This window comes from Homo sapiens, chromosome 5, assembly GCF_000001405.40.
Source record: "Homo sapiens chromosome 5, GRCh38.p14 Primary Assembly".
Taxonomy (NCBI): Eukaryota; Metazoa; Chordata; class Mammalia; order Primates; family Hominidae; genus Homo; species Homo sapiens.
Genome location: NC_000005.10, coordinates 56,186,831 through 56,200,205, shown reverse-complemented (window position 1 = coordinate 56,200,205; position 13,375 = coordinate 56,186,831). Strand labels below are relative to the sequence as shown.

At 38.3% G+C, this 13,375-nt stretch overlaps 1 protein-coding gene and 1 pseudogene across 1 annotated transcript in view; one reads left to right on the top strand and one right to left on the bottom strand.

Moving 5' to 3' along the window:
* The window catches only part of ANKRD55 (ankyrin repeat domain 55), a 133,651-nt gene that overhangs the window by 33,125 nt on the left and 87,151 nt on the right, over positions 1–13,375 (top strand). The window lies entirely within an intron of this gene.
* Positions 6,371–7,838, bottom strand: C1GALT1P2 (C1GALT1 pseudogene 2; annotated as a pseudogene).

Here is a 13,375-nt window from a genome sequence, read left to right as displayed (position 1 = left end):
AGGCTCTGTGTACCCCCTTAGTATTAGTTTATTAAAGCTAGTAAGCCTGAATTTGGTTTATTCTGACAGGTATAAAAGAACATAAATTCATTATAGAGAATTTGAAAAATATAGAAAGTTCTGAAGAATATCCAAGAGATTATCTCTATAGACTTTTTGATGCACGTTCTTCCAGGCTTTTACGGACTTTTACACATTTCATATATATACATATTACAATTAAAACACAATTGTAGAGATGCTGTGTTGCTCAGGCTGGTCTCCAACTACTGGTCTCAAGTGATCCTCTCACCTCGGCCTCTTTTTTTTTTTTTTGAGACAGAGTCTCACTCTGTCACCCAGGCTGGAGTGTAGTGGTGCGATCTCGGCTCACTGCAAGCTCCACCACCCGGGTTCATGCCATTCTCCTGCCTCAGCCTCCCAAGTAGCTGGGACTACAGGCGCCCGCCACCACGCCCAGCTAATTTTTTTGTACTTTTAGTAGAGACAGGGTTTCACCGTGTTAGCCAGGATGGTCTCGATCTCCTGACCTTGTGATCCGCCCACCTCGGCCTCCCAAAGTGCTGGGATTACAGGCGTGAGCCACCAAACCAAGCCACACCCAAGTTTTTTTTTTTTTTTAACTTTGAACATGGTAATTTATCTTATGCATTATTTAAATCAACTGTTTAAAAATGTTCAAAAGCCACTTTAAGAAACATTTAAAAATACATTTTTCTGACTTAATGGTGATCACTTAAAATAAGCAAGTCACCAGACATTTTTAAACCATTCATAACACCATTACCTTAAATAATTGTTAGATTCCAAAACACAAACATTCACTATGTAGTACAACACACTGCTCAGCAGTAAGATTAGTTTCCCTCTGATAAAATACTTCATGTAGGTTATTAATTTGCCGGGCCCTGCAAAGTTATTAAAATTTAACTAATATAAACTGAAAACTAGAGAGGTAAGGGAATTGAAATAGAGCACAATTCAACCCTAAAACTTTAGAGCTGGTTTCTCTAAAGAGAATTTGTAAAATTCCTTATTCCACCCTTTGTTAAAGTTTTTATTTCAACTCTTAGATATAAACACGTGTTTGGGTTTTTTTGGGTTTGTTTGTTTGTTTGTTTGTTTTGAGACAGAGTCTCACTCTGTCGTCCAGGCTGGAGTGCAGTGGCGCGATCTCGGCTCACTGCAAGCTCTGCCACCCGGCTTCACACCATTCTCCTGCCTCAGCCTCCTGAGTAGCTGGGACTACAGGCGCCCGCCACCACGCCCGGCTAAATTTTTTGTATTTTTAGTAGAGACGGGGTTTCACCATGTTAGCCAGGTTGGTCTTGATCTCCTGACCTCGTGATCCGCCTGCCTCGGCCTCCCAAAGTGCTGGGATTACAGGTGTGAGCCACCGCTGCCCAGCCCCTAAACACGTGTTTTTAAATCAACAGAGGTAACATTAACATTTAGCATAGGATCTATCACAGGTTGTCTCCCAGATTGCTTCAGTATGTTTCTGTCAGGCCTACTATAAAGAAGAAAAACAAAGCAAATGGGTTTTGGTTTTTTTTGTTTTTGAGAAAAGGGTGAGTGGAAGAATCCAAATAACTTTACTTCCTTTAATAATTGTAGATGTGGCTAGGCGCGGTGGCTCACGCCTATAATCCCAGCACTTTGGGAGGCTGAGGCAGGCGGATCACCTGAGGTTGGGAGTTCAAGACCAGCCTGACCAACATGGTGAAACCCCGTCTCTACTAAAACTACAAAATGAGCTGGGCGTGGTGGTGCATGCCTGTAACCCCAGCTACTCGGGAGGCTGAGGAAGGAGAATTGCTTGAACCCAGGAGGCAGAGGTTGCGGTGAGCCAAGATCACGCCTGGGTAACAAGAGCGAAACTCCGTCTCAAAAAAAGAAAAAAAAACAGTAATAATAATAATTGTAGATGCAGAATTAATTTAAAATTCTAGATTTTTAAGTAGGGCAACTATCTTGAGAGCCAGCAGGCATTATTCTTAGACTTTTACTTTCAATCTCATAGGGAAACCCAGTTCGTAGGTTTAAAATTTTCAATTAAGTAATAAAAATTTTAGTCACTATTAACAGCCAAATTAACCCTTTGAAGGCAGCATTTAAGAGTAACTAGAAAATGGGAATTAGTAATAAAACAAATAAAGAAGGGCAATAAATACAAAGCAGAAACTGTCAAAGAATAATAGTCTAATGAACTGAAAACAAATGGAGAATAAAATGCTAGATATAATTTAATCAATCAAGGGATTCTTTCAAGTACAAAAGTGCATCAGCCTGCTAATAACTATGGTTTGACAGTCTCAAAGAAGTGAAAAATTAATACTCAAGAAAACAATTGTGAAAATAACCAGTTAGCAAATTTAATGCTCAAATCCAATTCCATATTCAAATAATATTAAAAGCCGATCAGTGGTTTATTTTCGTATCTCATTACAGTAAGAAAAACTCCTCTGAAATTTATGATATTTGAAAACAAACTGCGACAAAAATTGGCTTTATCTATGAACTTTCCACTAGAAAATATAAGCATACCATCATTAGAGAACATAAGACATCAAAAGCCTTATGTTTTAAAACCATACTAAAATAATTTATCTAAATAACGAAGATCTTAATCTAAAAGATAGTGAATACATCATCATCATGAAATCTGGTTTTATGTGCTCTATGAAATACTTGGAGAATTGTTTTTGTTTTTGCTTTATTAGGTCACACAAAACAGAATGAATTGGCAGAAAAGTGCTCTGTATGTTATAAAATAGCATTTACTACTTCAATTTAAATTGTTTTTACTAACAATTGTAGACCTTTTTGATGACACTGATTTTATGTATGCTTTTAATAAATTTTGTACTTATTAGTACTTAATGAACCCTTCCTGCCTCAATATAAAATTACTAAACTTGGAGAATTACAGATTTTATCGTGGACCCTGATATTAGTCACTTTGGAGAAGCTACAAATTTGGCCAAAATGAAGGATCCAATGACCCTTTAAATTATCTTTATTTTATATTTAATATTATGTGATCCTGGACTACACTGATTTAAAACATGCTTTTTGAAAAATGTCTTAATAATGGGGCAGTAATCTTCAGTGTGCTTCAAACACTATTTGCACCAAAATCATGTAGGTATTGGCAGTGGTTCTCAAACTAGGATAACAAAGACACCTGCAGAGTTTGCTTAAACACAACTGCTGGCCCCTGCCCCTGCTCCTAGAGTATCTGATTTAGTAGATCTGAGATGGGGCCCTGAGAGAGGTTGCATTTCCAACAGGTTCCCAGGTGATGTTGATGCTGTTTGTTGGGACCACACTTTTGACAATCACTGTCCTAGGGTATTTGGTAAGAATGCATATACTCTTGGGCCCCATGCTTAAGTTAGAATTTCTGAGACTGGGGTCTGCAGATCAGCATTTTAACAACATCCTAGGCAAGTATGCTAACCACAGTTTAAGAATCACTATGATAACTTGGCTGGGTTAATTTGGGTATTACTGGCCAATGTATCAGATGTCATATATCATATAAATAAAAATGGAAATAATGCTAAATGACTAACTCCAAGCCTGATACAGTTCAAATGAACACACACGGTTTGAATATAAATCCTGCCTCTGTTACTTACTAGCCTTGTGAAAGTGGCAAAGTTACTTTAATTCTCCAGGCCTCAGTTTCCTTATCTATAACATGGGAATAACACCCAAATTTTGAGCATTAACACTATTATACACAGATTATCTAAGCACAATAGTTAGCACACAGTAGGCACTCGATAAATACTAGCTATTACTTATTAAGAAATGTATGAAATATTTCCTTCAGTATCTGGTCAAAGCAAATTTTTTATTCACTTAAATGCAATAGCTACACTCCAAGGTAATAGAATAATAATACAATCTTCTATTTATTGCTCCCTTATTCTGGGACAGACAGTGTTCTAAGAACCTTACATTTATTTAATCCTCACAAAAATCCTGTGAGGTAGGTAGTATTATCATCCCTAATTTACAGATGAGAAAATTGAGACACGGAAATATTAAATAAAATTGCTCAAGGTTACAAAAACAGTAAGTGTTGGAGCAAGAATTTAAACCCAAGCAAGTCTGACTCTAGAGCCCAGGATTCATGACAACATTCATTTCCTATGAGCAAATCTTAAGGTTTTTGGATATTTATAGTAAACCATTTATACTTCTAGTCAAGTAACACATATGAAAATTCATGTCCACACTATGGTAAAGAGTTGTTCAAAGAATAAAATGAATGCCTTGAAATTTTGGCAGATGATACTACCATGATAATAGGTAAAAATTGGTGCATGTTTTCACTATGTGGGCAGAGTAATCCATGGTTAGCCAATGAAATGAACATCCTCTCAAATAAACCATTCAAAGAGTCATGATTTTGACATGTTTTGGCACAATAAATAGAAATTATTTAGCTAGCCAGGCGCTGTGGCTCATACCTGTAATCCCAGCACTTTGGGAGGCGGAGATGGGTAGATCACCTGAGGTCAGGAGTTCAAGACCAGCCTGGCCAACATGGCAAAACCCCATCTCTACTAAAAATACAAAAATTGGCTGGGCATGGTGGCACACGCCTGTAATCCCAGCTACTCGGGAGGCTGAGGCAGGAGAATCGCTTGAACCTGGGAGGCAGAAGTTGCAGTGAGCCGAGATCGCGACACTGCACTCCAGCCTGGGGGACAGAGTGAGACTCTGTCTCCAAAAAAAGAAATTGTTTAGCTAAACAGCAGAGTAAGTGGCATGACAGCCATGTAAAATTGGCATAATGATAAACATAAGGGAAATGTAAATCTTTTGTGCCACTAAAGATAATCTCATAGAAAGTCTGTAAAATATTCTGTTATGACACACTCAGTATTGCTAAAGATAATAAAAATAAAAATGTTCTTTCCTTTCAGAAAGTCTTTAAACAGAGTCACTAAAAATAGAATGAAACATTTGTGAATGTTTTTGATGACAGCCTTGAATAGGTATTCTGCGTTGTTAGAATTATCCATTGGCAAGACAATTATCCCAAAATAGTAAGTCAGCATCAACCTTCAGATTGCTATTTATAAGTTAAGTATCTACTCTTTCAATATATCACATTTAAGCACTCTGCATTTTCTATTGTTTTTAATTAATTCTTGTCAAAATCTTGCATTCAAAATAATCTTGCCAGTGTAACTAATAGCCACCTTAGATCCTAAAAATGAATTCTAAAACTCTGCTTTAAACAAGTTATGAAAGGCACAAACACGTTCTCATCTCTCAACAGGATGAGAATGAAAGAAATCATAACTATGTAGTTAGAAAGAGTTTAAAATAATCAATTTAAAATGTCACTTAGTAATTCCTGAGAGTGGCACTGATACAAGAAAAGCATCCTCAAATAGCATTAAATTTATTATTAGTCACCCATAATTAACAATGGGTAAATTTGGGAACAAATATTATCAAATACATGTTTACAGAATGCTGTGAATACTTTGAGTAAATTAATATTAATAGTGGAGAATGGTATTCAAGGGTGGCTAAACATATTTAGAAAAGAGACAACAGAGATTCAGTAAAGGATTACTAATTAGAATCAAATATATAATATAGTCAAGGCCCATGATAATTTTAAAGTGCGGTTTTATTAAGGAACTTCAGGATAAGTGCCAGTCTTATTTTAGCTTCTTCTGGAAGAAATACTGCCAATTATAAATAATCACAGCAAAATTTCCATTAGACAAAAACTATATGTGTTGGGGGGGTTGGATCATTTATATCATCCTGCAAATATAAACTCAACTCTTGAGCTGTATTAACAACACTGAGCAACAATATTTCTTTATAAAATTTTCTTTTTTTTTTTTTTTTTGAGATGGAGTCTCACTCTGTCACCCAGGCTGGAGTGCAATGGTGCGATCTCGGCTCACTGCAAGCTCCGCCTCCCCAGTTCAAGCAGTTCTCCTGCCTCAGCCTGCCAAGTAGCTGGGACTACAGGTGCGCGCCACCACGCCCAGCTAATTTTTGTATTTTTAGTGGAGATGAGGTTTCACCATGTTGGCCAGGGTGGTCTCAATCTCCTGACCTCGTGATCCACCTGCTTTGGCCTCCCAAAGTGCTGGGATTACAGGAGTGAGCCACTGCACCCAGCCCTAAAATTTTCTTTAAGGCAGATCTGTTTATTACTAATATGGTGCAGTGTAGTTTTAGCAAATTCAATTGTTTTAGTTTCTCAGTGACAATAATACAGATGGTCAAAAATAGACAACAAAATCTCTTTTCTAGTTCCTCTACTTGGCCACCATTTTAAAAACACAAGTTCTTCTTATATATATAGATATATTTTTATATGACTGTATCAAAACACATTTTAACAGACTTCACAGCTCATTTAAAGCTTCAGTTTATAGTCATTCAAGTGAAAGATTTCTATATGGAATGTTCACTTAGAATTCCTCACTGGGATTCCAGTGCTCTATGTCAGAAATGCAGAAGTCCTTCTTCAGGGCAATGCTAGACATTTTACCTTTGTTCATTCATGATTTTCTTTCAAGGGTTTCCTGACTTCACTTTTGTGCCTTCATTTTTGTTTGCTTGACTAATTTCCTTTAGTATATTTTCAGGTAAGGTAGCTTGATATCTGTATAAATAACCATATGGATGAAGATGATAAACGAGGTATTCTAACACATACACAGTTGTAAAATCAACATAGTGAAAAGAAACTGCAAGATCGGAACAGCAACCAGGACCCTCTACAGGAGGATAATAGTTGTAATTCCAGTACCAAAAGGTTCTAGGTAGATAACCTTTATTAAATGGTGTTCTGAAACAAAGGGATGAAAAGTTTCTTTTCCAGTGGGATCTCTGGAATCTCCTGCTTCTACATTTATAATTTCCATGCATCTCCCCAGTGCTAAGTCTTCAGTGGAGGAACTATGTGACACTTGTCTGTTTTAAATGCATCAAGAAATCTTTTCAAGGCTTTCTTTGCTTAGTAAATATCCTGCTCCTCCACTCATACAGCCCTGTTTTACAAAGGGCTTAAATCTTCTCCTAAAATAAATGTGTTCTTTAGAATCATATTTTGAAAGAAGCCATCTCAAATTATCTAGTATGAAATATGTGTCATCATCTGCTTTCAAAAACCAATCAGCATCTTCTAAATGATGTTCATGAACATACTGAAAAGGTTTAATTGTTTTCCAGTATAGCTCATCTCTGCCTGCTTTGGTTTTCAATCCCACAGCACGGAAGTCTTTATTTTCTTCTGAACTCATAAAAAATACTTTTAGACAACGCTGGGCCCATGTAGCTTTGACATGTTTGGCCTTTTTCTGTAGGTTTTGAGAGCCTGTCATAACCCAGCAAAGAATTTTAACTTGCTAATAGAGGTTTTCAGCGATGTCTGTGTTCTCATCTTTACGTTGGCTAGAATCTGCATTGAAGTTCATTTGTCCTCCTAGATGATTCTGTCCATTATCATCTGAATGCCTCGCATGAGGATCATTATGAAGAACATTAGTCTGGGTGTCACCCTCTTCTCCCAACAAAATACTAAGTAGCTGAGAAAATAAAATAAACCCTATTGCCGATCCATAGAGGAAGGTTAAAAAATTCAGCCAGGATTTAGAGGCCATCTCGGAAAGTGTATTTCTGTCATCGGCCGTGGCTCCCTCTTGCCCCTCCTGGGGGGCAGAGAGGGCGACGACATGGGACCGGCGACTTTTGCTTCTCTGGGCACCCGCAGAAGTGGCTCCTGGCCGCTAGCCGAGGCCGCCAACTGCCGCCCAGATCAGTCTCCGGCAGCAGCGGCAGAGTTTTAAATAAAATATAATCTGCGTGTCTTCACATGCTTCTTTCTTCCTATTTCTTCATGTTTCTTCCATTTTCTACCCTCAGAGTCTCTCACCCTGTGTGTATTCTGGAATCTCTCTTTATGCACCCGTACAGAAGTCTATCTGTTTAAAGCAGTGAGAGAGGCAAGACCATTCAAAACATGCTCCTCATGTAAGCAGTGTGGAAAGAAACATAGATGACAAATAGATGAGAAAGAGAGAGAGAGAGAGAGGAGCAATAGGAAGGAGACAAGGAAGGACTGAGGTATTGTTTGTTTATGTAGATCTTTTAGACATCTTAATAAGTGGGTTTCTGATTGTCAGTAGAAAAAAACTTTCCTGCTCTCATTTTAGATTCCATTAGGACCATCAGTCATACTTTTCTTTGTACTTGTTATTTCTACATCATGCTTCCTCATTTCTATAGAAATTCTCTGTACAGTTTCTAAGTTTGTGCCCAATTATTTGCATTGACCGCAACTTAGATTGGCTCTTTCTAAATAACTTCTAGGGAAGCTCCTTCATTTCCTATTTCCTTGTTGTGCTGTGGTTTAGTGTACATCGCAGGGCCAGAAGGAATTCTGAAGTACATGCTATTCTGCTTCACACGTCTTCCTTTTCCCCCTACACTGTGCTTCACTTTATGTCTAAATTCCTTCTAAACAGGTTTGGTGGTCATCTAGCCAAGAGAGGTCATCTTCAGTGACAGGAAGCTCACTACTTCTTGAGGTGACTCGGTCCATTTTTATAAGCTCTAATAATAATTAGAATACCTGTCTCTCTGTCACTCTCACCCACTGCTATTTCTAACTACTGGAGTCTCACACAGCAATTTAACCATAAAATTGTTTGCATAAAAGCCCTTCGAAAAACAACTCTATTTACAATAGTATGAGAAAGAATAAAATACTTAGGAATAACCAAGGAGGTAAAAGACTGGTACACTGAAAACTACAAAGCATTGCTGAAAGAAATTAAAGAAAACACCAGTAAATGGAAAGACATTTTATGTTCCATGAATTAGAAAACTTAATATTATTAAGATGCCAGTACTACACAAAGCAATCTACAGATTCAATATAATCTCTGTCAAAATCCCAATGATGTTTTCTACAGAAATAGAAAAATCATCCTAATATACATATTGAATTTCAGGAGACCCCAAAATAGCCAAAACAATCTTCAAAAAGAACAGTTGGAGGTTTCACACTTCCTGATTTCAAAACTTACTACAAAGCTACAGTAATGAAAACAGTGTGGTACTGGCATACAGACAGACATATAGATCAGTAGAATAGAACTGAAAGTCCAGAAATAATCCCATACATTTATGGTCAACTGATTTTCCACAAGAGTGCCAAGACCATTCAATAGGGAAAGAATAGTTGCTATGACTTGAATGTTCCCACTGAAAGTTGTGTTGAAATTTAACTGTCATTGTACCAGTATTAAGAGGTAGGCTTTTTAGAGGTGATTGGAGCACGAGGGCTCTGCTCTGATGAATTGATTAATACTGTTATATTAGGAGTGAGTTAGATATCTTCTGGCATGGGTGCCTGATAGAAACAATGAGTTTGGCCTGATTTCCTCTTCTGTCTCAGATGCTCGCTTCTGCCTTTCACCCTTCTGCCATGAGATCATCCTCACCACATGTTGGCATCATGCCCTTGGACTTCCTGGCCTCAAGAACCATGAGCCAAATAAGTTTATTTATAAATTACCCAGTCTATAGTATTGTGTTATAGCAGCAGGAAACAGACTAAGACAATAGTATTTTCAATGAATGATGTTGGAAAAACAGGATAGCCATGTGGAAAAAAATGTATTTGGACCCTTACTTTACACCATATATAAAAGTTAACTCAAAATGGATCAAAGACCCAAACATAAGACCTAAAACTGTAAAACTCATAGAAAAAAGCCTAGGGAAAAGCTTCATGACACTGGATTTGGCAATGATTTCTTGGCTATGACATCAAATGCACAGACAACAGAAGAAAAAATCAACAAATTAGACTACATCAAAATTAAAAGCTTTGTCATCAAAGGACACTATCAACAGAATGAAAAGGCAACCCACAGAATGAGAGAAAATATTTGCAAATCATATACCTGATAAAGGTTTAATATTCAGAATATATAAAGAACTCCTACAACCCAGCAACAAAAAGCCAAACAACTCAATTAAAAATGGGCAAAGGATTTGAATAGACATTTCTTGAAAGATATGCCTATAGCCAATAAGCACTTGGAAAAATGCTCACTGTCACTAATATTAGAGAAATGCAAATCAAAACCACAATGAAATACCACTTCACCATCATTAGGATGGCTATTATTTTTTTTAAAACCCAAACAACAAATAATAAGTGTTAGCAAGGATATGGGGAAATTGAAACTCTTGTGCACTTTGGTGGAAATACAAAATGGTGCAGCCGTTTGGAAGACAGTATGGTGGTTCCTTCAAAAATTAAAAATGGAATTATCACATGATCTAGCAATTCCACTTCTGAGTATATACCCAAAAGAATTAAAAGCAGGAATGCAAAAAGATTTGTAGACCCATGTTCACAGCAGCATTATTCACAATAGCCAAAAGATGGGAACAACGCAAGTGTCCACTGACAGGTAATGAATAAACAAAATGTGATGCATACATACAATTAAATATTATTAAATCTTAAAAAGGGAGATAATTCTGACACATTCTACAACATGGATGAACCTTGAGGACATTATGCTAAGTGAAATAAGCCAGTCACGAAAGGACAACGGTTATTGATTCCACATACATGAGGTGCCTTTAGTAGTCAAATTCATAGACAGAAAGCAGAATGGTGGTTTCCAGGGACTGGGGATGGGAAAGAATGGGAAGTTACAGTTTAATGAGTACAGAGATTTGGAAGATGAAAAGATGAGTTTTAGTGATGGTTACACAACAGTGTGAATGGACATAATGCAATTGAACTGTAAGTACACTTAAATGGTTAAAATTTTAAATTTTATGTATCTTTTACCACATTTTTTTTTTTTTTTTTTGAGACAGAGTCTCGCTCTGTTGCCCAGGCTGGAGTGCAGTGGCGCGATGTTGGCTCACTGCAAGCTCCGCCTCCCGGATTCACACCATTCTCCTGCCTCAGCCTCCTGCACAATTTTTTTAATTAAAAAAACTCTTTAACTATCTGAAGGCTACTATCATGACCCCTGGAATAATCTTCAGAGTAGACACATTTATCTCCTTCAACCATTCTTCACGTGACATGATTAAAGTCCATTCATACCTCCAGTCACTCACCTCTGAATGTTCTCCAGCCACTATACCCCTGTTTAATTGAGACCATAGACCTCAATATGACACTGACCAGTTAAGAATGGAAAAGGCCTATCACTGCCCTCAATATGGCTACTAGATTTGGTAATTCAGCCAGACTTCCTACTAATTTATTACAACGCTGTTTATTTCTATAGAGCTAATTTTCCAGCTAAAACTCCAAGTTCTTTTTTAAAACGTTTTATCAGTCAGAACTTTTTCAGTGATTAAAAAGAAAATCCAAACGAATACACAAAATCTATGTAAATTGACTTAAGCTGGAGGCATCACATTACTTGACTTCAAATTATACTACAAGGCTATAGTAACCAAAATAGCATGATACTGGCATAAAAACAGCCACGTAGACCAATGGAACAGAATTGAGATTCCAGAAACAAGTTCACACATTTACAGTCAACTCATTTTTAACAAAGGCACCAAGACATACATTTGGGAAAGGACAGTCTCGTCAATAAAAGGTGCTGGAAGACTGGATATCTATATGCAGAAGAATAAAACTAGACCCCTATCTCTCACCATATACAAAAGTCAAATCAAAATGGATTAAAGATTTAAATGTAAGACATGAAACTACCAGAAAACATTGGGGAAATGCTTCGGGAGATTGACCTAGGCTAAGATTTCTTTTTTCTTTTTCTTTTTTTTTGGTTGTAGGGGGGTGGCGGGGTTGCGGGGGCAGGGCAGAGAAAATATCTCCACCTTTCTCTGGTAAGAGAAAGATGTCACCAGGTGGCTTCCAGGTTCATGGGTGGTAGAATAAAGCAACAGTATTGTTCTCGACAACCCCAGTCAACATATCAAACGTATCATTGCTTTTCGTGGGCTCTAATTGGGTCACATCCCTGAATCCATCTCCATGGCCAGGATAATGCTAGTGCTGAGTGGCTTAGTTCTAAGCCACATGTTCTGCCCCTGACCAGGGATATAGCCAATTCCACTGAATCAGCCTGTGGGCTAGAAGAGGAGAGGAAGTAGTCCCTAGAGAATAATCAGGTTTACCTTATCAACAGGGAGAGGGGAAGTTGAGTGCAAAAACTACATACTTAACCACCCTTCAATCAGTTCAACTGGATATTTTGTGGACCAAGATATTGTTACCGGGGGTCCTTGTTCTTAGAGCTCCGAAGATGGTGGCGGGGGGCTTCCAAGATGGTAGCCAGCCTCGTGTTATCTGACCTGGGGTTCTTGGCCTCACGTATTCCAAGAAATGGAATCTTGGGCCATGCAGTGAGTGTTATAGCTCTATTAGAAGCCGTGGGTCACGGAAGAGAACCTAGAACCCAGTGACTAGCGTTCAGCTCGATTAGGATGAACCCAGGCAGTTAGCCGTGCAGGAACAATGGCAAGCCTTTAGCCCGATTGGGAGCAGCAATGGGTGCCTCGCTGGATCAGGAGCACAGCGGTCACCCTGCTGGATCCAGAGGGATAGAAGTCAGCGGCGGGTCTGCGACAGCAGCAAACAGCAGTGGTGGACAGTGAGCGAAAGCTCAGCTCAAGCCGTAACAAACACGGACCAGAAGAGTGTGCAGTTGCAAGATTTAATAGAGTGAAAACAGAGCTCCCATACAAAGGGAGGTGACCCAGAGAGGGTAGCCGTTGCCAGCTCGAATGCCTGGGTTTAAATCCCGGTCATTGTCCCTCCCGCTGTGCTCTCAGACAATAGATGATTGGCTATTTCTTTACCTCCTGTTTTTGCCTAATGAGCGTTTTAGTGAGCTCTCTTTACTACCTGATTGGTCGGGTGTGAGCTAAGTTGCAAGCCCTGTGTTTAAAGGTGGATGCAGTCACCTTCCCAGCTAGGCTTAGGGATTCTTAGTCAGCCTAGGACATCCAGCTGGTCCTGTCTTTCAATATGTTACTCTACCTTTAGCTCTATTAAATACTATCTAATTAGATTTCTGGCAAGATATTTTGGGGATCATAATTCTATCAGGCAATGCATTCATTGTTTCTCTCAGCTGTATGTGGTCCACAGTGTGATGAATGTGCCTTGCATATTTTATTGCACTCAGTGATGAACGGATTGTGAATACATTTATGTCTGTTATATAGGCACATTATATAACATATGAACAGGCTGTTAAACACAGAGCTCCTCAGCCCACCACCAGGATCTTCCTCCTGAAGTGATACCACCAGCATCTTTGGATGTGGTCACACAACCAGATACCAGCTCCATCTTTGT